At 42.7% G+C, this 26,298-nt stretch overlaps 1 protein-coding gene across 6 annotated transcripts in view, besides 5 other annotated features; it reads left to right on the top strand.

The window, feature by feature from the left end:
- Window positions 10,161–10,270: a silencer, noted in NCBI's record as "silent region_16075". NCBI's record gives its function as "represses an Ori minimal core promoter by ATAC-STARR-seq in GM12878 lymphoblastoid cells {active_cell/tissue: GM12878}" and the evidence as "EXISTENCE:reporter gene assay evidence [ECO:0000049][PMID:35858748]".
- Window positions 10,371–10,470: an enhancer, noted in NCBI's record as "active region_22638". NCBI's record gives its function as "activates an Ori minimal core promoter by ATAC-STARR-seq in GM12878 lymphoblastoid cells {active_cell/tissue: GM12878}" and the evidence as "EXISTENCE:reporter gene assay evidence [ECO:0000049][PMID:35858748]".
- The window catches only part of SLC30A5 (solute carrier family 30 member 5), a 37,056-nt gene continuing 21,205 nt past the window's right edge, over window positions 10,448–26,298 (top strand). For 2 of the 6 annotated variants that reach the window (NM_022902.5, XM_006714672.5), the window contains exons 1-5: window positions 10,448–10,772; window positions 17,241–17,363; window positions 19,496–19,562; window positions 21,065–21,150; window positions 24,783–24,870. In NM_022902.5, the coding sequence (NP_075053.2) occupies window positions 10,690–10,772; window positions 17,241–17,363; window positions 19,496–19,562; window positions 21,065–21,150; window positions 24,783–24,870 (447 nt within the window). In that variant the 5' untranslated portion in view covers window positions 10,448–10,689. Of the gene's footprint in view, window positions 10,773–17,240; window positions 17,364–19,495; window positions 19,563–20,395; window positions 21,175–24,782; window positions 24,871–26,298 lie in introns of those variants that run through there. The other 4 variants (XM_005248569.4, XM_017009749.2, NM_024055.5 and 1 more) reach the window with 3 other exon arrangements.
- Window positions 10,601–10,890: a silencer, noted in NCBI's record as "silent region_16076". NCBI's record gives its function as "represses an Ori minimal core promoter by ATAC-STARR-seq in GM12878 lymphoblastoid cells {active_cell/tissue: GM12878}" and the evidence as "EXISTENCE:reporter gene assay evidence [ECO:0000049][PMID:35858748]".
- Window positions 10,936–11,230: a silencer, noted in NCBI's record as "tiled region #11799; K562 Repressive DNase matched - State 1:Tss". NCBI's record gives its function as "represses a minimal TATA promoter and a strong SV40 promoter by Sharpr-MPRA in K562 cells {active_cell/tissue: K562}" and the evidence as "EXISTENCE:reporter gene assay evidence [ECO:0000049][PMID:27701403]".
- Window positions 16,708–17,285: an enhancer, noted in NCBI's record as "H3K27ac-H3K4me1 hESC enhancer chr5:68396101-68396678 (GRCh37/hg19 assembly coordinates)". NCBI's record gives its function as "activates a minimal SCP1, AML or CMV promoter by ChIP-STARR-seq in naive H9 embryonic stem cells {active_cell/tissue: H9 hESC(naive)}" and the evidence as "EXISTENCE:reporter gene assay evidence [ECO:0000049][PMID:30033119]".

Below are 26,298 nucleotides of genomic sequence, written 5' to 3' on the forward strand. Positions count from 1 at the left end.
GTTCACACCCTTTACAGCAGGAGGAGCCTGGCCCCTCCTCTTCCTGGGTGGAACCTGGGATTCAATCTGTAAGGTGGGAAGCCTATATACTAGCAGGAGTCTCCCTCTGCTGACAGTCCCTGTTTCCCTTTTTTTTTCCTTTGTGACCAATAAATTCTACTTTTCTCACCCTTCAGAGTGTCTGCAAGCCTAACCTTTCATGGTCAGGTGACAAGAATCTTGTTTTTAGCTGAACTAAGAAGGAAGTCCTTCAACACTACTGTGCACAACCCAAATCCTCCTTCAAAGAAAGATCTCTTGCCCTGCGGGGAATGTGGTCAGCAGATGATCTTTAGCTATAGGTACCTTTAGGGATTCCTTACATGCAAAGAATCATCCTTCCAAGGTTGATGTACATCTCATGAATGACTGAAGTGGGAGTATAAAGGTCCAGTCATTTCAACCGAATGTAAGATACCTGAAAGATCATTTTAGCTCCAAAGGTCTCCATGAGGCTTTTGTTGGACTGTACTACTTCTTGACTTCTCCCTCTGCCAAAGTATGCTTTCTTTCCCTCTCTTTCCCAGTTGTTGGTCCCAAAAGCACCCTTTTCCGCACTAAACTCCATGTGAGTCTGCTTCTGGAGAACTCAAACTGCAAGAAAAAGGATAAGGAGGGTGTTAATGAGAAAATGTTCAGGTAGGGAGTGTTAAAAGAAAGGCTTTAGCCAAATTAAATTCAGAAGAATTTAATTGAGCAAAGAATGATTCATGAATTGTGCTGCCTCCCGAGCCAGAGTAGGCTCAGAGACTCCAGCACAGCCATGTGGTGGAAGATTTATGGACAGAAAACGGAAAGTGGCATACAGAAAATGGAAGTGAGGCACAGAAAAAGCCAAATTGGTTACAGCTCGGTGTTTGCCTAATTTGAACACAATTTGAATAGTTGGCCACCTTTGACTGGTCAAAACTTGGCACAAGAGTAGGCTACAATCTGTTTACAACTAACTCCATTTGGGTAATAGTTCATGATGTACAGAAAAACCTTTAGGCTGAACTTAAAATATGTAAGGAGGCAGCTTTAGGCTAAACTTGATTTAACAGGAGTGTTCTAGGGCATGGAAAACTATCTGAGCAATGTCTTGTATTGGAAGACAAAATAGCACAATTGAAGAAAGTACTAAAGGGCTAGTGGAACCCAGAGAGCAGGAAACAGCTTAATGTGAAATGAAACTGAAAAGGTAAGTTGGGGCAAAACCATGTAGGATGTTATTGGCCATGATAATGATTTGAGTTTGTCAAAAGGATAATGGAAAGCTACTGGAACGCAGGGGTGGAGTGTTATGCGGTGGGCAATGCATTGTGAGATTTGCATTTGGAAATATTACTATTACTATGGCAGAATGTGGAAAATAGATTAGATAAAAGGAAGTGTAAACTTGGAAGGTTAGCTAGGAGATGATTGTAGTGGTAAAGATGATGGCAGCCTAGACTTGATAGTGATGGAGATGAAAATTTTTGGATTGATTTGAGAAACATTTAGAAGGTAAAAAATGATGCAACCTGGTAATAGATTACAAGAAAGGGGAGGTGTTAAGGATGATAACTAAGTTTTTGATTTGCTAAACTGGATAAATGGCACCATCCAATGAGATAGAAGAGGATTAGGTTTGGGGGAAAGATCGTAAGTTTATTTTAGGACACAAAGAACTCGAGCTTCCTTTGAGACAATCAAATGCAGTATTCTGGAAGCCAAGGAAAGAGAATGTTTCAAGAAGAACAGAGAGATCAATTATGTTGAAAGCTGTATAGAAATGAGACAATATACAGCTGAAAGTATGTAGGCCCCTTATCTACAGTTTTGCTTTCCACAATTTCAGTTACCTGTGATCAACCACAGTCTGAAAATATTAAATGACAAATTCCAGAAATAAACAATTCATAAGAGTTTTTTTGTTTCTGTTTGTTTGTTTGTTTTTGAGACAGAGTCTTGCTCTGTCACCCAGGCTGGAGTACAACGGCAAGATCTTGGCTCACTGCAACCTCCACCTCCAGGGTTCAAGCAATTCTCCTGCCTCAGCCTCTCAAGTAGCTGGGATTACAGGTGCTTGCCACCATACCTGGCTAATTTTCTCTCTCTTTTTTTTTTTTTTTTGAGATGGAGTTTTGCCCTTGTTGCCCAGGCTGGATTGCAATGGCACGATCTCGGCTCACCACAACCTCAGCCTCCCGGGTTCAAGCAATTCTCCTGCCTCAGCCCCCTGAGTAGCTGGGATTACAGGCATGCACCACCACTCCCGGCTAATTTTGTATTTTTAGTAGAGACGGGGTTTCTCCATGTTGGTCAGGCTGGTCTTGAACTCCCAACTCAGGCGATCCACCCTTCTTGGCCTCCCAAAGTGCTGGGATTACAGGCGTGAGCCACTGTGCCTGGCCTGTTTTTTGTTTTTGTTTTTTTTTTAAGACAGAATCTTGTTCTGTCACCCAGGCTGGAGTGCAGTGTTATGATCTCAGCTCTCTGCAACCTCCACCTCCTGGACTCAGGTGATCCTCCCACCTCAGCCAGCCTCCCGCGTAACAGGGACTACAGGTGCACACCACCACCACCCCTGGCTAATTTTTGTATTTCTTGTAAAGACAAGGTTTTGCCATGTTGCCCAGGCTGGTCTCGAACTCCTGGGCTCAAGCGATCTGCCTGCCTAAGCCTCCAGGAGTGCTCGGATTATAAGCATAAGCCACCATGCCCAGGCAATTCATAAGTTTTAAATTGAGCACAATTCCAAGTAGCGTGATGAAATCTGACGCTGTCCCACTCCAGCCCAGCTGGGACATGAATTCTCCATTTGTCCAGCATAGCTGTACACAGTTCCTGTCCATGAGACACTTATTAGCCCTGTCCATTATCAGTTTGACTGTCACAGCATTGCAGTGCTTACATTCAAGTCACCCTTGCTTTACTTAAAAATGACCCCATTGCACCAGAGTAGTGGTGCTGGCAATTTGGAAATGCCAAAGAGAAGCCATAAAGTGCTTCCTTTAAGTGAAAAGTTGAAAGTTCTCAACTTAATAAGGAAAGAAAAAAATTGTATCCCAAGGTTGCTAAGATCTACAGTAAGAACAAATCTCTCTGTGAAATTGTGAATGGTATAACATTATAATTATTCCATTATTATTTATTGTTAATCTCTTACTTTGCCTAATTTATAAACTTTATCACAGATATTTACATATAGGAAAAAATATGGTATCTATAGGGTTTGGTACTCTCCGTGGTTTCAGACATCCACTGGGGGCTTGGAACATTTGCCCCACAGATAAGTGAGGACTACTGTGTCCTGCTGCTTCAGGGGAGTGATGAGTATAGAAGCCAGCTTGGAATGGGTTCAGAGTTGAACAGGAAGAAAGAAAAGAGAGGCACTTTTCCTTCTACCACAAAAACAACTGTAAGAAAAGTACTTATATTTGGCCTAAAAGAAAAATGTACCAGGCCCGGCCAGGCGCAGTAGCTCACGCCTGTAATCCCAGCACTTTGGGAGGCCAAGGCAGGTGGATCACCTGAGGTCAGGATTTCGAGACCAGCCTGACCCACATGGAGAAACTCTGTCTCTACTAAAAATACAAAATTAGCCAGGCTTGGCGGTGCATGCCTATAATCCCAGCTACTTGGGAAGGCTGAGACAGGAGAATCGCTTGAACCTGAGAGGTGGAGGTTGTGGTGAGCCAAGATTGCACCACTGCACTCCAGCCTGGGCAACAAGAGCAAAACTCCATTTCAAAAAAAAAAAAAAAAGTTTAAAAAAAGAAAAATGTACCAGGCCCAATGGCTCATGCCTATAATCCCAGGACTTTGGGAGGCCAAGACAGGAGGATTGCTTGAACCCAGGAGTTCAAGACCAGCCTGGCCAACATTGCAAGACTCCGTCTTTACAAAAAAAATACAAAAATTAGTCAGGCATGTGTAGCAGGACAAGCCACAGACAAAACCCCTCAGACACCAAGTTAAAGAAGGAAGGGCTTTATTCAGCCAGGAGCGTCGGCAAGACTCACATCTTAAAAACCGAGCTCAGGCCAGGCACGGTGGCTCACACCTGTAATCCCAGCACTTTGGGAGGCCAAGGCGTGCAGATCACGAGGTCAGGAGATGGAGACCATCCTGGCTAACACAGTGAAACCCCGTCTCTATTAAAAATACAAAAAAAATTAGCTGGGCGTGGTGGCGGGCACCTGTAGTCCCAGCTACTCGGGAGGCTGAGGCAGGAGAATGATGTGAACCCGGGAGGCATAGCTTGCAGTGAGCCGAGATCGCACCACTGCATTCCAGCCTCGGCAACAGAGCAGGACTCTGTCTCAAAAAAAAAAAAACAAAAAAAGAGCTCCCCAAGTGAGCAATTCCTGCCCCTTTTAAGGGCTTACAACTCTAAAGGGGTCCATGTGAGAGGGTTGTGATCGATTGAGCAAGCAGGGGGTACGTGACTGGGGGCTGTATGCACTGGTAATCAGAATGGAACAGATCAGGACAGGGATTTTCATGATGCTTTTCCATACAATGTCTGAAATCTATAGATAACATAACTGGTTAGGTCAGGGGTCGATCTTTAACCAGGCCCAGGGCGGGGCGCCGGGCTGTCTGCCTGTGGATTTCATTTCTGCCTTCTAGTTTTTACTTCTTTCTTTGGAGGCAGAAATTGGGCATAAGACAATATGAGGGGTGGTCTCCTCCCTTATTTCTCCCTTTGAGAACCTCACTCATTAGTGGGAGTTTTCACTTTTATCCTCACTACCCATGTCTTCTTGTAAGACAGATCGATAGTGATTCATATAGTACACTTGTGCTGAAGCATTTTGGTGAACTAAGGTAGCGATGAAGCTTTTTATCATTTGAAGAAGTACAGGTAGCAAACAAGGGAGCAGTAAGCAGGTTCCTACTACTATTATAACTCCCATTATAAGAGTTTTAAATCCTCCTAGTGCTGGGAACCATTTTCCAAACATGGCCCCAGGATCAAATCCATGCCACACTTGCATGGGCACATGTGCCAGTTTTGTCATATCTCTAACTATGTCTTTAACTACTTGCTCTTGGTCATCTATGTGTAGACAGCAATTAGTAAGGTTAAATTTCCTACAGACCCCTCCTTCAGCTGCTAGCAAGTAGTCGAGAGCCAATCTATTTTGATAGATTTCTCAATCTATCAAAATGCAATCTATTTGATAGCATTTCTCATCTGAGTTTCTTGCTGGGCCAGAATAGTCAAGGCTCTGCCGGTTTTGTTAGTGATTATTTCTAAGACAGCTTGTAACCGTATGATTCGGTTAAGCATGTAAATGGGGGTCTGGTATCCCCATGAGCCATCTTGTGCCCAAGTAGCAGGCCCATAATATTGTATGATTTTCTCAGGGGGCCATTTATCATCTTTTTAATTTCTTATAGCTATGCTTATCTTTTTGCAGGAAGCACAGATGGGGAAGCCCAGGAGTTCGCCTGTCTTTATGGGCAGTAGGAAGAAAGATGGTTTAATAGTGCCAATAACACAACTACCTGCCCACTCATCGGGTAATTTGGCATAAGCTCTATGCCTACATAACCAGTATAATCCAGTGGGGGCTGTCCAGTCCCAGTGGGACTCCAGGTGGGTCCACACAGTTTGCAACTTTGGGAATTTACAAAATGGATTCCTTTCTGTGTGATTTGAACTCCACCGAGTGACTTTTTGTGGTACCATTATACAGTTTCTGTCCCAGACAACTAAGTCGTCCTACGGGGTGAGTGAATTCTTTTCCTTTTCTAGCTCTACAATATTGTCCAATAATTGAGGTTTTTAGGACCCAGAAATTATCAGGGCGATTCTTTTGAGCCGGGAATTTATCAGGAACTGGGTCTGTAGGTACTAATTCTTGGGCTTCCCATGGCCATTGATCTCCCATTACAGTTTCTCTATATACATAACATGAAGTGACATTGAGAGACTGGGCTACATGCTCGGCTAATTGCAAAAACCAATTTCTTGTTTTTCCTGGAATTTCTGATACTGGCACATTTAGTTCATCATAGAAAGTTTGAAACAGTGGCTCAAGAGAGCGTTCGTAAACTTCTCCTCGAACTAAGATATTTACCTGAGGATCCAGTCTGACCCCATCAATTCCTAAGGTCACATGCTCCCCTTTTTTCCAGCACGGATCAAGGGGATTGGTTATTACTAGCTCTAAGGGGTTACATTGTCCCTCAGTAAAGTAAGGGCCATTTTTTCCTTTTTGAAGGTGGACTGGATCCTTTTTATTTTTTATCCAAGTGGCCCAAATGACACAAGACCAGTATCCACATTTATTTCCACACAGTCCTAATTCATGACAAATGTACTTATTTTCAGTCATATAGCCTTTTTCCCAATTAAAAGAGCCACATTCCCTTCCTAACTTATTGCTATTAATGACTTCTGGGTGGGGCCACAGAAGTGGTAGTTGGATCCAGGTGGAGCTATGGTCCATCTGGACCCATCAGTCTTCAGATATGCCACACAAAAAAAAAAAAAAAAAAAAAAAAACAGAAAAAAAACTGAAAAGATGTCTCAAAAGGCCAATCTTAGGTTCTACAAGAGTGATGTTATCTGCAGGAGTAATTAGGTAAGTTGTGACCTCTGGAATACTGTCTAGCGCTCCTTGATGTCTACGCCTTAGCAGAATTCAGGCTCCTCTCATTCTCCTAGCCTGATGGTCTCTCAATAGCTTTACAAAGGTAATTGAGTTTGGGGGAAGGGCCATTATCATTTAAACTATAAATGTCTCCCAAAGTTAGCTTGGCCCAAGCCCAAGAATGATTAAGGGCAGTTTGAAAGCTAAAGGCAAGACAGGGTTTGATTAGATCAGATCTCTTTTGCCATAATTTTCTCACTGTTATAATTTTGCAAAGGTGGTTTCAACAATAAAGTTCCAGTAGACAGACTGTGATACCTCGTTTTTTTTTATGCTACTAAAGGTCTTTGTGTGTATTCAAATTAGAGTATTGTAAATTAATTATAATTTATACTGCTCAAAACCCGATTTTCATCTCCAAATCATCCCCAAATTTCCCAGAGTAATAATAATATTTAACATCTATTGAGTGACATTTTATACTATTCATAGTGCTACAGGAAAGGGGTCCAGATCCAGACCTCAAGACAGGGTTCTTGGAGCTCATGAAAGAAAGAATTCAGGGCCAGGCTTGGTGGCTCACGCCTGTAATCCCAGCACTTTGGGAGGCCGAGGCAGGTGGATCACCCAAGATCAGGAGTTCGAGACCAGCCTGACCAACATGGAGAAACCCTGTCTCTACTAAAAATACAAAATTAGCTGGGTGTGGTGGCGCATGCCTGTAGTCCCAGCTACTGGGGAGGCTGAGGTAGGAGAATCGCTTGAACCTGGGAGGTGGAGGTTGCAGTGAGCCGAGATCATGCCATTGCACTCCAGCCTGGGCAACAAGAGCAAAACTCCGTGTCCAAATAAAAAAAAAATTCAGGGCAAGTCCATAAAGTGAAAGCAAGTTTATTAGGAAAGTAAAGGAATAAAGAATAAAGAATGGCTACCCCCATAGACATCTCTTAGAATGTCTTAACTGTCTGGGAATACAGCCCAGTAGGTCTCAGCCTTATTTTACCCAGCTCCTATTCAAGATGGAGTTGCCCCGGTTCAAACGCCTCTGACAACAGTTCTGTTAGTCCAAACTGCACCATTTTGTAAGCTCCCCACTAATTTTGCAGACCTTGGTCAAAGTGAAACATTTCACAGGGGTTCGGGGCTGTAAGAAACATCCTGTCTAACCACTTGACCACAAGGCAGACAAAGGCCCAAATAAAGAAACATCCCTATCATATCTTGCTGGGCAAAGTTCCAAGGAATACCATGATGACATCTGCCAGAACAAGGGCCAGAACTGCCTCATCACAGGAACATCTTATCAATATCCTGCCAGGCAGCAAGCCATACTGCCCAGACCCTTACCGCCCATACCTATAAATACCCCCAGCCTATAAGCAGTGGTGGGCTCTGGCATTAAGCTGGTCCCCCACATCTGTAGGTTTTATGCTGGACATAAAGCCTGCATTTACTGTCGAGCCGCCCTCTTTCTGTGTGTGTGTGTGTGTGTGTGTGTGTGTGTGTGTGTGTGTGTGTGTGTCTTTCTTTAACCCTCCTGTTCCCTTCAAAACCTAGCAAGTTCTAGAGACTTTTCACTTATTAACACATGTATAATCCTCCCAACAACCCTACAATATAAATATTACTATTCCTACTTTGCATATAAAAAAAAAACTGTGGCGCAGAAAGGCCAACTAACTGACCCAAGATCCCACAATTACTAAGTGGCAGAGTTGGGATTCAAACCAAGACTGACACAGGAACCCACATTCCTAAATTTTTAGCAACAGAAAAATAACCTTTATAATACCCAGTCCTACTTGTCAGAGGCGTTTGACCCAGAGTGCCTCCATCTTGAATAGGGGCTGGGTAAAACAAGGGGGAGACTTACTCGGCTGCATTCCCAGGAGGTTGGGCATTCTTATTACTATTATTATTTTTTTTTTTTTGAGACGGAGTTTCACTCTTGTTGCCCAGGCTGGAGTGCAATGGCGCGATCTTGGCTCACTGCAACCTCCATCTCCGGGTTCAAGCCATTCTCCTCCTCAGCCTCCCGAGTAGCTGGGAGTACAGGCATGCACCACCCCACCCGACTAATTTTGTATTTTTAGTAGAGACAGGGTTTCGCCATGTTGGTCAGGCTGGTCTCAAACTCCTGACCTCAGGTGATCCACCCGCCTCAGCCTCCCAACTGCTGGGATTACAGGCATGAGCCACTGTGCCCTCTGCCTATGGAGTAGCCATTCTTTTATTCCTTTACTTTTTTAATAAACTTGCTTTCACTTTACTGTATGGACTTGCCTCGAATTCTTTCTTGCGTGAGATCCAAGCTCTCCTGGGGTCTGGATGGGGACCCCCTTTTCAGGTAACACTACCTGACCTGTTTTTACAGATGTGCCTGGATTACACAGTTTCACAGGCAGAATTTAAAGAAAATCAACGCTTTCCTTTTCAAAAAGGAGACAAAACAGTTTGCAGCAACACTTAACAAAATCCTCTTCCTTCTCCTATGTTCTGTCCTCACACAGTTGGATTCCAGGGCCTCTAGCAACAACGGTTACCAGTACTCCAGGCCCCACACAAAAAGCCACAAAAGCAGTCACCTTCCTCCGTTACTTTATTTGATAGATGACCCCAGGCTCCCTGTGGCAAAGAAGAATCCTTTCTTTTTCTTTCTTTTTTTTTTTTTTTCCAGAGACGGTCTTGCTCTGTTGCCCAGGCTGGAGCACAGTAGCATGATCATGCCTTATTGCAACCTTGACCTCCCACGTTCAAGCGATCCTTCCGCCTCTCCCTCCTGAGTGGCTGGGACCACAGGCATATGCCACGCCTGGCTAATTGTTTTTGTATTTTTGATAGAGACAGGGTTTTGCCATGTTGCCCAGGATAAGAATGTTTCTTTAGAAATCTGGAAATTGCCTTTAGGTTCCCTTAGGAGTAGGAGAGAAGGCCATGAAGTTTCGCACGTGGTCACTCCTAGAAAATTGCCCTGGGATAGTTTGCTGAGGAGGCAAATTTTGGTCAATACTAGTTTCTCCTCTCCAAAGTCCATCAAAGGCATTGTTCAAAAGAAATGGCCGTACCACTATTTGTAATTGATTCTCTACAGCTTCAAAAATAGTTATCTCTGGTTGGGGGAAGGGCACGTGAACTTTTAAGACTTCGGGCCTTCTCATCACAAAAATGATCCATACTCACAAAAACTTAGAGGCAGAGGGTATGTTAACCTAGATTAAGAATCTCTAGGCCGAGTGCGGTGGCTCACTCCTGTAATCGCAGCACTTTGGGAGGCCGAGGTGGGTGGATCACCTGAGGTCAGGAGTTCGAGACCAGCCTGACCAACATGGAGAAACCCCGTCTCTACTAAAAATACAAAATTAGCCAGGTGTGGTGGCACATGCCTGTAATCCCAGCTACTTGGGAGACTGAGGCAGGAGAATCGCTTGAACCTGGGAGGTGGAAGTTGCCGTGAGCCGAGATCGCGCCATTGCACTCCAGCCTGGGCAACAGGAGCGAAACTCCATCTCAAAACAAAAAAAAAAAGAATCCCTAACGCAGAGGAAAAGATTGGTGAGCTTTGTTTAATCACACACGCTGTACATTTTCCACGCCCTCCCCCTCTGCCCTACAGGAATCCGCTGTACTTCTGACGGCCCATAGGTGGCACTGTAGGGACAGGTAAGTGCACAGGGAGCGCCACCCGGAGAGGCTGATAGGAGGCGGAGCTTCAATGCGACACAACGTGGCGGGAGGAGCCTAAGGGACGAGGAAAGGCGAGTGTTCTGCTTGCGCAGACGCAAGGCTGGGCACTCCCCCGGGAGTGAGGGTTGCTGGGCCTGATGACGTGGCTTGGCAACGTCCCTACCGCCGCTGCTTCCCGGGAACCTGGCGCCGCCGGAACTGATCGCGGCCTAGTCCCGACGCGTGTGTGCTAGTGAGCCGGAGCCGGCGACGGCGGCAGTGGCGGCCCGGCCTGCAGGAGCCCGACGGGGTCTCTGCCATGGGGGAGTGACGCGCCTGCACCCGCTGTTCCGCGGCAGCGGCGAGACATGAGGAGACCCCGCGACAGGGGCAGCGGCGGCGGCTCGTGAGCCCCGGGATGGAGGAGAAATACGGCGGGGACGTGCTGGCCGGCCCCGGCGGCGGCGGCGGCCTTGGGCCGGTGGACGTACCCAGCGCTCGGTAAGGGACCGATCCGGAAGGCAGCGACCGGCCGGGTCGCTCAGGATGCACTTTCTCCGGCCTCCCTCCGGTCTCCGCTGACAGCCCGGGACGTCCCGGGGTCGGCGCGCCCTCTCCCCCTGCCTGCCTCCCTGCGCGCAGGCTGCCTCCGGGCTCCCCGGGCTCTTCGGGTGCCTGCTGCAGAAGGAAGGCGCTAAAGCCAAAAAGCTTCTGCTTGAATTTCTGGGTTACAAGGCAGACAGTCAGTCTTAGAACTGCCCGCCAGTTCACGTGAGAGGTTTTTCTGATCTGTGAGAAGCCTTTCTCTTGGCTGTTTCTCCCTGAAATAGTCTGGCGACTACTTAACCTTTCTGACGTTTCCCTGCATAAATTAGGGGAAGGTGTCACCATCAGCTCTCTTCAGGCGACGAAACCAAAGTACATACGTGAACTTGGATGTTCAGGGGAACTTGGATGTTCAGATTAACTGAGCACATCGAGGGTCCAGCCCCGTTTTCTTTTTTTATTTTGTTCTTAAATAAGAAATGTGTCCTCGTTGTCAAAAAAAAATCTAAACAGCAAAGCAATTCATAGAGTAAAAAGTGAAAATTCCCACTTCCTCTCTTCAATTCTCCCACCAACCCGAAAAGTAAGGGACCAACAGGTGCAGCGACCACTTTCTAGTGTATCCTTCCTAAGTTCTGAGATAGTGTCGAAAATGCACAAAATACAGCCCTGCAATTTGGCTGGAACTGGTGTTCTTTGCCTCCATTTTTAACGAGTTCTTCCCATTCTGGAATAAATACTTCTTTGATATTTAAAGAAAGTGATAAATGTGATAAATTCTTTAGAACTGTAGTAATAGCATTATAACGTAACTTTTTTTTTTTTTTTTTTTTTTGAGACGGAGTTTCGCTCTTGTTCCCAGGCTGGAGTGCAATGGCGCGATCTCGGCTCACGACAACCTCCGCTTCCCGGGTTCAAAAGATTCTCCTGCCTCAGCCTCCCGAGGAGCTGGGATTATAGACATACTCCACCACGCCTGGCTAATGTTTTGTATTTTTAGTAGAGACGAGGTTTCTCCATGTTGGTGTGGCTGGTCTTGAGCTCCCGACCTCGTGATCGGCCTGCCTCGGTCTTCCAAAGTGCCGGGATTACAGGCATGAGCCACCGCGCCCGCCCAACATAAGCATTTGTTATGAAAAGGGAAGAACACCACATAGGACAGAACTTAAACCAACTGCATTTTTGTAGCATAAATTTAATTTTCTAATCTATTTTGAGCATCTCATTTTGTAAATAACAGCATATCAGATGTTAATTCTTGAGACATGACAACTAAATGCAATAGGCAATTCTGGTCTGATTTGGTAGTAGGGGAAAAGTGCTTTAAAGGATGTTACTGGGTCAATTGACAAAACTGGACTATGGACAGTAGATTAAATAAAAGTTTCATATCAGGCCGGTCGCAGTGGCTCACACCTGTAATCCCAACACTTTGGGAGGCCAAGGCAGGTGGATCATCTGAGGTCAGGGGTTCGAGACCAGCCTGGCCAACATGGTGAGACCCCATCTCTACTAAAAATACCAAAAAAAAAAAAAAAATTAGTTGGACGTGGTATGCGCCTGTAATCCCAGCCACTCAGGAAGTTGAGGCAGGAGAATGGCTTGAACCCAGGAGGCAGAGGTTGCAGTGAGCCGAGATCGCACCACTGCACTCCAGCCTGGGTGACAGAGCGAGACTCTGTCTCAAAAAAAAGCATATCACTTAAATTTCCTGAAGTAGACAGCTCTGCTGGTTTTATAAGAGAATGTCCACGTTCTTGGGAAAAACAAGTATTTAAGGATAAAGAAGCATGAAGTATGTAACTTACTCTCAAATAGTCCAGGGGAAAAAAATACCTCTGTGTGTGCATTCAGAGGGAGAGAGAATAATAAAACACAGGACGATACATTAACAATTACAGAGTCCAGGTAAAGGATATACTACTCTTGTAACTTTTACGTAAACTGGAAATTATTTTTAAATGAGTAGTTTAAAAGTGCTGTTTATTCAAGAGTGTAAAGAGTGTATTGTCTCAGGTAGGGAAATGTGGTAAACAATCCTTTGCTATTTTATTTGTACTACTTACTTAGCAGAGTTGCCCTTCTATTGTAGTTTATTGCAGAATCAAATTCAACTCCTGACTGGTTGAATTTTGATGGATTCCAGGTTGCAAGAGTAAAGGAAGGATGAGGTCCTGGACGGAAAATGTGGAAATTAAAAAGAAGTTTCCCCTCTTAACTCTGCTTACCATTCTCTCATTTAACTCCAATATCCCAAAAGCCAGGCTTCAACCTTCCAGAAGGACCCTTCTGGAAAACTTACCAAATCTCCAGCAATTGTCTAGGTATAAAGTAAACGTAGGCTAAAGCAGGAGGATCACTTGAGCCCTAGAGTTTGAGACCAGCCCTAGTAACACAGTGAGACCCCTGTCTCTACAAAATATAAAAATTAGCCAGGCACAGTGGCAGTGCCTATAGTTCCAGCTACTTGGGAGGCTAAGGCAGAAGGATCACTTGAGCCTGGGAGGTCAAGGCTGCAGTGAGCTATGATCCTATAAGTGCACTGCAGCCTGGGTGACAGTGCAAAACCCTGCCCCGCCTTTCCCCTCCAAAAAAAAACCCCAAAAAAACCCCCACAAAAAACCAACAACAACAAAAAAAAAGTAAATGTATATGTACTAGAAAAAAACAGAACACAAAAAACACCCTTAGAGATTTTAGTTGTTTCTTCCCTTCCTCTCTTTTTCTTTTTTTTTTTTTTTTTTTTTTTTGAGGCGGAGTCTCGCTATGTCGCCCAGGCTGGAGTGCAGTGGCGCGATCTCGGCTCACTGCAAGCTCCGCCTCCCGGATTCGCACCATTCTCCTGCCTCAGCCTCCCGAGTAGCTGGGACTACAGACGCCCACCACCGCGCCGGGCTAATTTTTTGTATTTTTAGTAGAGACGGGGTTTCACCGTGTTAGCCAGGATGGTCTCGATCTCCTGACCTCGTGATCCGCCCGCCTGGGCCTCCCAAAGTGTTGGGATTACAGGCGTGAGCCACTGCGCCCTGCTCTTTCTTCTCTTTTTCTTTCCTTCCCTTCCTTCATTCCTTCCTTTCTTCCCCTTCCCTTTCTTTTCTTTCTGACAAGTTCAGTTCCTCTGTTGCCCAGGATGGAGTGCAGTAAAATAATCATGGCTCACTGCAATCTCAAACTCCTGGGCTTAAGCAATCCTTCCACCTCAGCCTCCCCAGTATGTGAGATTGCAGATGTGCACCATCATGCCCAGTTCATTCTTTAATTTTTAGTAGAGATGAGGTCCCAGTATGTGAGATTGCAGATGTGCACCATCATGCCCAGTTCATTCTTTAATTTTTAGTAGAGATGAGGTCTTGCTATGTTGCCCAGGTTGATCTCGAACTTCTGGGCTCAAGCAGTCGTCCCACCTCAGCCTCCCAAAGTGCTGGGATTACAGGCATGAGCTACCATGCCTGGCCTGGATTCTTTGATTTTTAAAGTTCCAATTAATGAACTGTTGGGCTAAAGATGAAAAACCAGGCTAAGTAACCTATATTGATAAGCAGACATTCCTAGTTCATGTTATGAAGGAAAAACAATGGCGTCGATTTATCAGGACGTGGAGACGGGAGAGGAGAGGAGAGGGAGGCTAATTTTTAAAAACTTTTTGGAGAGACGGGGTCTCGCTGTATTGCCCAGGTTGGTCTTGAACTCCTGGACTCAAGTAATCATTCTGCCTAGGCTTCCCAGGCATGAGCCACCATGCCTGGCCCATCCCCCCACACCCCCAATTTATAAACCATTATTTCCCATTAACTAGTCTTGTCAAAGGTTATCACTGGACTTTTCTGTGAAGGTTTAGAAAATTCCCTGGTTCTCGCCAGGCGCGGTGGCTCATGCCTGTAATCCTAGCACTTTGTTTGGGAGGCCAAGGTGGGTGGATCACCTGAGGTCAGAAGTATGAGACCAGCCTGGCCAACCAGCATGGCAAAAACCCATCTACTAAAAATACAAAAATTAGCCTGACATGGTGGCAGGCACCTGTAATCCCAGCTACTCAGGAGGCTGAGGCAGGAGAATTGCTTGAACCCGGGGGTTCAATCAAAGAAAATTCCCTGGTTCTCTAAACATGGAATTACTGAAATCTGGATTTAGGTTCAAACCTGCCTCTTGGGCTTTGCCTACTGCAGTAGCTCAACAGTTCTCTGGCTAAAAAATAAAAATCAGTGTGTAATTCAAGTTCAATTCATTTAATAAATACTCAAGTATCTACTATGTAGAAGGCACTATACATGGGGTTTTAAACAACTCGGACTACCAGCTTATTTATTAGTTGTGTGACCTTGGGCAAATTACTTTTCTACGACTCAGTTTTGTGAAACAAGGATACCACTTCTTAGTTTGTAGGACTGTTGTAAGAATTAAATGAAATGATATATTCAAAGCACTTGGAACATAGCAGGTGCTCAACAAATGTTAACTGTGACCCTCTGCCCTTCCCCGCAAAGAGGACTTAAACCAAAATAAACCTTTGTTTAAAATAATCCATATTTGTGAATTTAGGCATAAAAATACCCACAATTAAAGGACTTGTCAACTAGTTTTTGTTGCAGATTATAACTAGTATTTGATTTTTGGTCTGTATAAAGTAAAACTCTTGCAACCTGGAATCCATCAAAATTCAACCAGTCCTGAGTTGCATTTGATTGATTCTGCAATAAACTACAATAGAAGGGTAACTCTGCTAAGTAAATAGTACAAATAAAATAGCAAAGGATTGTTTACCACATTTCCCTACCTGAGACAATACACTCTTGAATAAATAACACTTTTAAACTACTCATTTAAAAATAATTTCCTGTTTACCTAAAAGTCACAAGAGTAGTATATTCTTTACCTGGACTCCGTAATTGTTAATGTATCGTCCTGTGTAATTTATTATTCTCTCTGAATGCACACACACAGGTATTTTTTTCCCCTGGACTATTTGAGAATAAGTTACATAATTCATGCTTCTTTATCCTTAAATCCTTGTTTTTCCTAAAAACATGGACATTCTCTTATAAAGCCAGCAGAGTTGTCTACTTCAGGAAATTTAAGTGACCTCGCCAGAGGCTAAGACTCGTGACTCCTATAGTGGTTGAGGAGAGATAGTTGCCTGCCTGCTGGGTGGGAACCTGGGGATCTGATTACTTGGAAGACTTCCTAGAGATCCTCGTCTTTTCAGCTTCTCATTCCCCTCCTGAGGTGTTTCCAATTCCTGAGCCTTTTTAGGACTCTAGGTCCAGTCAATTGACCTTTCAACCACAACTCTCACTGTAGTCACTTAACAAGGCCAAGGAGGCGCAAACCAAAGGCATTTACCATTCTTCCGTTTCTTCCTATATTGTGGTCTTTTCATTTCATAACAGAATTTAGTTTTTATTTTGTTCTCCTTATTTGTTTGGAGGAGTTATTAAGTTAGAAAGCAGATAACAAAATAGTCCAGCAACTCGATCAACAAAATTTTCATTTTTCATTGGGCATCTTTTGTTAAAGTAAACTGTATCTATACATAATCATTCATATACATTGAAAAGAAACCAGAAGTATGTATACCAAAATGTTGTGGTTGGTTGGTTCGTTTTGAGACAGAGTCTCGCTCTGTTACCTAGGCTGAAGTGCAGTGGTGCAATTTCGACTCACTGCAACCTCTGCCTCCCGGGTTCAAGCGATTCTCTTGCCTCAGCCTCCCAGGTGGCTGGAATTACAGGCACCCGCCACCACGCCCAGCTAATTTTTGTATTTTAGTAGAGGTGAGTTTTCGCCATGTTGGCCAGGCTGGTCTTGAGTTCCAGACTTCAGGTGATCCACCCACTTCAGCCTCCCAAAGTGCTGGGATTACAGGCATGAGCGCCCAGCCTGTTTGTATTTTGAGACAGGGTCTCACTCTGTCGCCCAGGCTGGAGTGCAGTGACACGAACACAGCTCACTGCAACCTCAACCTCCCACCTTAGCCTCCCGAGTGGCTGAGACTGCTACCACGCACCATAATGCCTGGCTAATTCTTTGTATTTTTTGTAGAGATAGGCTTTTGCCACGTTGCGGAGGCTGGTCTCAAGCTACTGCACCTGGCCTCAAAATGTTAACAGTAGGGCGCGGTGGCTCACACCTGTAATCCTAGCACTTTGGGAGACCAAGGCTGGAGGATCGCTTGACCAAAGGAGTTCGAGACCAGCCTGGGCAACACATTGAGACCCCGTCTCTATGAGTTAAAAAAAAAAAAAAAAAAAAGTCAACAGTAGTTATCACGTGGATGGTGAGTTGTTTGGGGACTCTGTTTTGTTTCATTTTGTGTTTATGTATATTTCTGTGGTTTCTGTAATGACCTCTTGTTTAAAAAACCAGATTGATGAGCTGCTTGTAATTTCAGTGATACTAAAAATTGTTTCTGCTTTTATTTTTCAGATTAACAAAATATATTGTGTTACTATGTTTCACTAAATTTTTGAAGGCTGTGGGACTTTTCGAATCATATGATCTCCTAAAAGCTGTTCACATTGTTCAGTTCATTTTTATATTAAAACTTGGGTGAGTGTGGGGGGGGGTTTTTTCTTGATATTTTTTATTTCTTTGAAAATCCTGTTTTAACAGAGTATCTTTAAGAAACTTTACATACAATATTTTGTTTGTTCCTCCTGACAAGTATTTGATAAACTTTTTTAACTGGGAGTATACTTAAGATTAGAGGTACAAAGAGACTGAAAAGAAAACGGATTGTTGTGCTCTAATCACTTGCCTAAACACAAACTTTGATGAGATTTTTGCAAATTTAGTTTTTGGGCTATTTATTATTATTATTATTCACTGCATAATCCTTTCTTAGTACAGAGTCCTCATGTAGTGTGAACATTAATTTATTCTACTTATACGAAATGCTTTTTTTTTTTCTTTTTTGAGACACAGTCTCACTCTGTCACCAGGCTGGAGTGCAGTGGCGTGATCTTGGCTCACTGCAAGATCACTGCCTCCTATGTTCAAGCGATTCTCCTGCCTCAGCCTCCCGAGTAGCTGGGACTACAGGCGCTCACCACCATGCCCAGCTAATTTTTGTATTTTTAATAGAGACAGGGTTTCACCATGTTGGCCAGGATGGTCTCAATCTCTTGACCTTGTGATCTGCCCGCCTCAGCCTCCCAAAGTGCTGGGATTACAGGCATGAGCCACCACGCCTGGCCTACATATAAGAAATTCTAAATAAAGATTTCTTGGACCTTGAGATTGATAGTGACCACCCTCTGTGTTAATAAAAACCTGTTAAAGACTCTTGGGAGTCAGCTGGGCACGGTGGCTCATGCCTGTAATCCCAGCACTTTGGGAGGCGGAGGCAGGTGGATCGCCTGAGGTCAGGAGTTGGAGACCAGCCTGGCCAACATGTCGAAAGCCTGTCTCTACTAAAGATACAAAAATTAGCCAAGCGTGGTGGCATGTGCCTGTAATCCCAGCTACAAGGGGTGCTGAGGCAGGAGGATTGCTTGAACCTGGGAGGCAGCGGTTGCAGTGAGCTGAGATCATGCCACTGCACTCCAGCCTGGGCAACAGAGCGAGACTCCATTTAAAAAAAAAAACAAAAACAACACTCTTCGAAGTATAATTTTGGTAAGTTGGGAAAGAGATTATTGACTAGGAAATATTAAGCACCAGTGACGTGCTTTTTTTTTTTTTTTTTTTTTTTGAGACAGTCTGGCTAGGTTGCGCAGGCTGGAGTGCAGTGGCTCAATCTCAACTCACTGCAGCCTCTGCCTCCAGGGTTCAAGCAATTCTGTCTCAGCCTCCTGAGTAGCTAGGATTACAGGTGTGTCCCACCATGGCCAGCTAATTTTTGTATTTTTTTTAGTAGACACGGGGTTTTGCCATGTTGGCCAGGCTGGTCTCCAACTCCTGACCTCAGGTGATCCGCCCACCTCGGCCACCCAAAGTGCTGGGATTACAAGCTTGAGCCACTGTGCCTGGCCAAGTTGTGTGCATTTTTATATAACTATTTTGGCAATGTGAAAGGTAGGGATATATAATTAGTAATTTCTTCATTTTCATTATACTATTTCAAGATTTATTACTGAATTTTAGAGAAAATAGGAATTCTCTTCTTTGATATTTTAAGATATAAAAAAAATTGTGACTCCTTTATTTTTGTGGCTTGTTAGCTGGTTCTGAAGACAGTTAGAAAATAAGAGTTCTCGGCCAGGTGTGATAGCTCATGCCTGTTTTCCCAGCAGTTTGGGAGGCCGAGGCAGGCGGATCACCTGAAGTCAGGAGTTCGAGACCAGCCTGGCCAACGTGTTGAAACACCATCTCTACTAAAAATACGAAAAATTGGCTGGGCGTGGTGGCGCACACCTGTAATCCCTGCTACTCAGGAGGCTGAGGCAGGAGAATTGCTTGAACCCGGGAGGCAGAGGTTGCAGTGAGCCAAGATCGTGCCACTGCACTCCAGCCTGGTGACAGAGCAAGACTCCATCTCAAAAAAAAAAAAAAAAAAGTTATCAAAATATTGCAATAGGAGTTTTACTAAAATAAGTATAATTAATTCTCCAGTATGATTTATTCAGAGGATAACACTTCAAGTTCTGGCATATTTGTTTAAAATAAGTGTCTTTACTTAAAACTGTATCTTGTGTTTAATATGGATTAATATTAATATATTAATGTTTCAATATTTACAGGACTGCATTTTTTATGGTTTTGTTTCAAAAGCCATTTTCTTCTGGGAAAACTATTACCAAACACCAGGTAAGATTTTTGCAGAATCTTTTATTCCTAGCAGCTTCTCGTTTAGTGGGCCAGGAGGCAATGCTTATTTTTTATAATGGGTACTTAATGAATGATTTAAGTATGCCACAGAACAATTTTAGAGTTAACTTGCTCTTGTCTTTTCAGAATGGAGACTTTAAATCATAAAGTACTAAGATCATGGAATGTTTTTAAAAAAAACAAGAGGGTAAAAAAAATTATAAAGCATTCATGTAATTGTTTTCTTCAGTACACACTTCTTATTCTGAAAGATTTACAAATTGGACATGAAAGCATGCCCAAGAGCCTAGTACAAATGTCACTGGAAAGCTGACAAAGCATAGGGGTTAAGAGTGTGATTTCTGGAGTCAGACAAAGTCATGTTCTGTCTGTCCTCCTTACTGACCCTTACTTTGGGCAAGTTACTTGATTTCTCTCTACCTTAATTTGCTCACTGTAAAATGGAGATAACAGTAACTTCCTAACAGAACTGTGAGGAAAAATGAATTAATACTTATGAAGTTCTTAGAATGATGCCTCATCATCATTGTGACAATGTGACACCCTCATGATCATTGTCACTGTTCTCTTTAGGCAGCTGTGATTCAAACTAGAAATGTCCTACATTTTGCATAATCATCTCACATCGTCACTTCTTTGGGCAGCAGTTATACCATAGTACATGTTTGCTTTATGCCATGACTTACAAACCTGCGTCATAATTTTTTTATTAGAAAGACGAATTTAAGTACTTCTGTTTCAGAGACCAAGAACATTTTTTAAAATATGATTAATAGTCTAAACCCCATTTTAACTTTTTTCTCTCCTTTCAGATAATTGGATCACTAAAAATTCCTGGTAGAAAAGAATTTAAAGACAAAAAGTTAAATGATCCTAGGAAACTAGTGGGAAACTGAGAAATCATAAAATTGTACTCTGAAGAAAAAGATTTCAAAATCTACCAGCAGACAAGAATATAGATAATGGAAAACAGAATACTGTCCTTTTTTTTTTTCTTTCTTTTTTTGAGAAAGAGTCTTGCTCCATCGCCCAGGCTGCAGTGCAGTGACACGATCTTGTCTCACTGCAACCTCTGCCTCCCGGGTTCAAGCGATTCTCCTGCCTCAGCCTCCTGAGTAGCTGGAATTACAGGCACCCACCACCACACCCAGCTCATTTTTGTATTTTTAGTAGAGACGGGGCTTCATTCACCACATTGGCCAGCCTGGTCTTGAACTCCTGACCTCAGGTGATCTGCCTGCCTCGGCCTCACAAAGTGCTAGGATTACAGGCATGAGCCACAGCACCCGGCCCAGAATAAGAATACTGTCTTGGAAATCTAGACTTAGTCAAGGGATCTTATGTTTTCTATTTACAAAATATGTAATGATTTCACCTTTAAAATATTTGTTATTATTATCTTTCTGTATTTTATTTAAAATTTGGATATATAGCAAAATATATGTGACTGAAATTTTTAATTTTTTTGTTTCCATTTATAGTGGATCAAAATATTTAAACATGCAGTTGCTGGGTGTATTATTTCACTCTTGTGGTTTTTTGGCCTCACTCTTTGTGGACCACTAAGGTAAATAAAAATGCATATTTTGAATGTGTGTTTGTATTTCTTCATTTTGAATATTATTTTTGTTCCACTGTGTTTTACGTCAAATATTTATCTGTACAAATGTGTCTAGCACTTTTATAGCATCAGAGAGAATTCAACAGATAGAACAAACCTGTTTAGTTTCTGGACTAGTTCTTTAGTGAATACCATTAATATATTTATTCATGATTTGTCATAGATATTTTACTAGTTAGAATTCCAAGTTTCAGAAAATTTTTAGCATAAACGGCTTTTTAATCATTTATTCATGATCCCTGTTAACAGCTTAGAAGCTATAATAAAAGGTCTGAAGTGGTAAATAAAATTAGCCAATAAGAAGGAGAACAAAAATCTCTAAAAGCACTCATTTTTTGCACAATTTTGCAAATACTCTCATAAATAAATGTCTCAGAAGTAGTATATCAATTATCAGATTAAATGCGTGGTGGATAAAGTAAACTACTCCCATTTCATATTTCCCTAGATCTATATAGATTAGTCTTTTTCTGCAAGTGGACTGGTTTAAGGAGGAAATGCTTAGGGACCATTGATAGGAATTGTATCATGCAGCTGTGTATGAGCATTCTTTTAACATTTCCCCATCTGTAAAGGATTTTACTTAGTGAATAAGTGTAAGAAAAAATGCCTTGCCGTGAGAATGAGAGGTAAGGAGTGAAATGAAGAATGTTCTTGGCCAGCACTGTGGCTCACGCCTGTAATGCTAGCACTTTGGGAGGCCAAGGGGTGGATCATTTGAAGTTACGAGTTGGAGACCACCCTAGCCAACATAGCAAAACCCCGCCTTTATTAAAAAATATACAAAAATTAGCCAGAAATCACTTGAACTCAGGAGGCGAAGGTTGCAGTGAGCCGAGATCACGCCACTGCACTGCAGGCTGGGCAACAGAGCGAGACTCCGTCTCAAAAAAAAAAAGAATGTTCTAAAGCAGAGAGATCCCCCACCCCCTGGCTATAGACCAGTATGGGTTCATAACTCATTAGGAACCAGGCCACAGAGCAGGAGGTGAGCCACGGGGGAGCAAGCATTACTGCGTGAGCTCTACCTCCTGTCAGATCAGCAATGGCATTAGATTCTCATGGGAGCAGGAACCCTGTTGTGAACTGTGCATGGGAGGGATATCTAGGTTGCATGCTCCTTATGAGAATCTAATGTCTGATGATCTGAGGTGGAACAGTTATGTCCTAAAACATCCCCCCACCACTGCTGTCTGGAAAAATTGTCTTCCAGGAAACCAGACCCTGGTGCCAAAAAGGTTGGGGACCACTGTTCTAAAGGATCTCACTCAGAATAGTGGGGTAGACAGAGTGGAAAGTGAAGGGTGAGAAATGTGGAAATGCTTTGTGAAAAGTCCTTTCCCCTCTCATGGCCAATAGAATAGCTTCTGGATTGGGATCCCTTTGACTTGTTTGTCATGTACTTTGTCAGATGCAGAGTAGGTATAATTGGAAATGTCATATCTCTAGCCACAGTAGCAGCTGCAGCTTGGAGGGCTGAGAAAGCTAGCTGAATTTCCTAGCTTGGGAAGAGGTTTTTCACCGTATGCTTGAATATGATTGAGTGCTGCTATTGCTTATCATCTGTAATATTTTAAATTTGTTATTCATGAAATTATGTTTTGGTTCCTGTGTTACTATATCACTGTCCTTTTGTGTTACAATAAGGAGGGAAAGAGGAAGTACTTACATCTTTACTTGGTTCCCTATTTAGTCATCTAGCTCCTGACCTTATCACTACCAACACTGCCCTCTCATTCTTCTACTAAAACCATTATGCAGTTTCTCAATTGCAAAAATTTTAATCCCAGCACTTTGGGAAGCCGAGGTGGGCAGATAGCTTGAGCCCAGAAGTTCGAGACCAGCCTGGACAACATGGCAAAATCCCATCTCTACAAAAAATTAGCCAGGCATGGTGCTGCGTGCCTGTAATCCCAGCTACCTAGAAGGCTGAGGTGGAAGAGATCACCTGACCTCAGGAGGTAGAAGCTTAACCTTAGCATACTTTACTCTTTTGTAAAAACAGCTTAAAACATAAACACATTGTACAACTGTACAAAAATATTTTTTCTTTATATCCTTATTCTGTAAGCTTTTTTTCTGTTTTTAATTTTTTTTCAACTTTTTTTTTTTGGAGACAGGATCTTGCTCTGTCATTCAGACTAGAGTATATGGCACAGTCTTGGCTCACTGCAACCTCCATCTCCTTGGCTCAAGGGATCCTCCCACCTCAGCCTCACCAGTAGCTGGGACTACAGGTGCCTACCACCACACCTGGCTAACTTTTGTATCTTTTTTGATAGCAGGTTTTGCCATGTGGCCCAGGCTGGTCTCAAACTCCTGGGCTCAAGGATCCACCCTTCTCACCCTCCCAAAGTGCTGGGATTACAGGCATGAGCCACTGCTCCTGGCACTTTTTTGTTAAAAACTAAGACATGCACACATTAGCCTATACCTACACAGGGTCAGGATTATCAATATTACTGTCTTCTACCTCCACATCTTGTCCCACTAGAAAGTTTTCAGGGGCAGTAACATGCAAGGAATTGTCATCTCCTATAACAATGCCTTCTTCTGGGGTACCTCCTGAAGGACCTGTCTGAAGCTATTTTACAGTTAACTTTTTTTTTGTTTTTGACACCACTATTTGAAGTCAAAGGATATAGTTACTTTTATTTTTAACAAGCAAAAGTACATTCTAAAATAATTTATAGTATAGTAAATACATAAACCAGTAGCATAGTCATTTATTATCATTATCAAGTCTTATGTTCTGTATATAATTGTATGTACTGTATTATATGACTGGCAGTGCAGTAGGCTTGTTTACACCAGCATCACCAGAAACACATGAGTAATGCATTAACACTAGGTGACTGGAATTTCTCAGCTCCATTATAATCTTATGGCACCACCATCGTATATATGTGGTCTACCATTGACCAAAATAATGTTATGCAGCACATGGGTATATGTTGCCTGTACTTTTTTTTTTTTTTTTTGAGATGGAGTCTCACTGTGTCACCAGGCTGGCATGCAGTGGCCCGATCTTGGCTTACTGCAACCTCCACCTCCCGAGTTCAAGTGATTCTCCTGCCTCAGCCTCCCGAGTAGCTGGGATTACAGGCATGTGCCACCACGCCCAGCCAATTTTTGTATTTTTAGTAGAGATGGGGTTTCACCATGTTGGCCAGAGTGGTCTCGATCTTTTGACCTCGTGATCCCCCTGCCTTGGGCTCCCAAAGTGCTGGATTATAGGTGTGAGCCACCATACCCAGCCACATTGCCTGTATTTTTTTGGATTACTGCAAACAGTGCTGGTATGAGCAACCTGGTAAGTGTTACCTGATACATACCTATACAAGAATAAGAAATCTGTATGACATAATTCTATGAGTGGTATGATTAGGTATTTGTAGCTTCAATCTTTCTAAGGTAGATAATGCCAAACCATTTTCTAAAGCAGTTGTACCTATTTATTTTTCTTATGTTTTGTGAAATCAAGGGGAAATGTTTTTCTTTCTCTAACTCTAGTTGAATTCATGCGTCTTGATAAAGATAAATTACATTTCATAAATGATAATGTTTTATTTTTGTAGGACTTTGCTGCTATTTGAGCACAGTGATATTGTTGTCATTTCACTACTCAGTGTTTTGTTCACCAGTTCTGGAGGAGGACCAGCAAAGGTAGAATTTTCCATTATCAGTTACTTGGAAATGGAAAGTATGTATGTCACATATTATCCAAAGGAATAAAATCTTATCTTTCACCATTTAAAAGAATGCAGGAGGCTGAGCGCGATGGCTCACGCCTGTAATCCCAACACTGTGGGAGGCTGAGGTGGGCGGATTACATGAGGTCAGGAGCTTGAGACCAGCCTAGCCAACGTGGTGAAATTCCATCTCCACTAAAAATACAAAAATTAGCTGGGCATGGTGGTGGGCACCTGTAATCCCGGCTACTCTGGAGGCTGAGGCATGAGAATTGCTTGAACCTGGGAGGCGGAGGTTACAGTGAGCTGAGATCATGCCACTGCACTCCAACCTGGGCAATAGAGTGAGACTCAGCCTCAAAAAAAAAAAAAAAAAAAAATTCCAGGGGCTTTTTCCGCTAGTTTTACATTTTTCTTACAATTTTTTTGTTTTTGAAGAATTCTATAAGTTTACAAAAATAGATATTTGTGAAAATATAATCCGTAGTTGGAGAAATTTCTTAACATGGAAACAGTGGAAAATGATTTTGAAATGATTATAGATTCCTAGGAAGTTGCTAAAATAGTACATAGAGGACCCTCACCCTTCATTTAGTTTCCCCCAAAGGTAACTTCTTAACCAACTCAAGTACACTATCAAAACCAGTCAATTAGACCTAGTATTTCATATCACAATAGGGTGACTATAATCAACAATAATTTAATCATACATTTAAAATAACTAAAAGAGTATAATTGAATTATTTGTAACACAAAGGCTAAATGCTCGAGGGGATGGATACCCCAATTTACCTGATGTGATTATATACATTGCATGCCTATATCAAAACATCTCGTATACCCCATAAATACATATACCTACTATGTACCCACAAAAATTAAAATCAAAAATTAAAAAAAAAAACAGGAAATTGACATTGGTGCAATCCATAGACCTTACTCAGATTTTACCAATTTTACATACGATCGTGTGTGTGTGTATGTATGTATGTATGCATGTAGGTCTATGAAATTTTGTCATGTGTAGATTTGTGTAACCATCATTACAAGCAAGATATAGAACTGATGCATCACCACAATGATCTCTTTCATGTTGTACTCATGCACCTTTCCCCCAAACCCCCTACTCATTCTTAACCCTGTAAATCATTTTTGAAAAATAACTAAAAACTTGTTAAATTTAAATTATGATGAACATTTATCCAACATTTTGCCACCTAAGCACTCCTATTCATCCTAAGTGATTCAAGTATTATCCTTTTGTTAAATGAGTTACCAATCTACAATTCCAAACTGTTAGAACTATATAGTGTTTCTGTTTTACCAAATTAAACACTTCCTTGCTGGGTCCTACTTGCAGACCCTGGCTGAACAACAAATGCACTCAGACACAGGTATTTAG

This window comes from Homo sapiens, chromosome 5 (assembly GCF_000001405.40).
Source record: "Homo sapiens chromosome 5, GRCh38.p14 Primary Assembly".
In the NCBI taxonomy this organism is placed as follows: domain Eukaryota; kingdom Metazoa; phylum Chordata; class Mammalia; order Primates; family Hominidae; genus Homo; species Homo sapiens.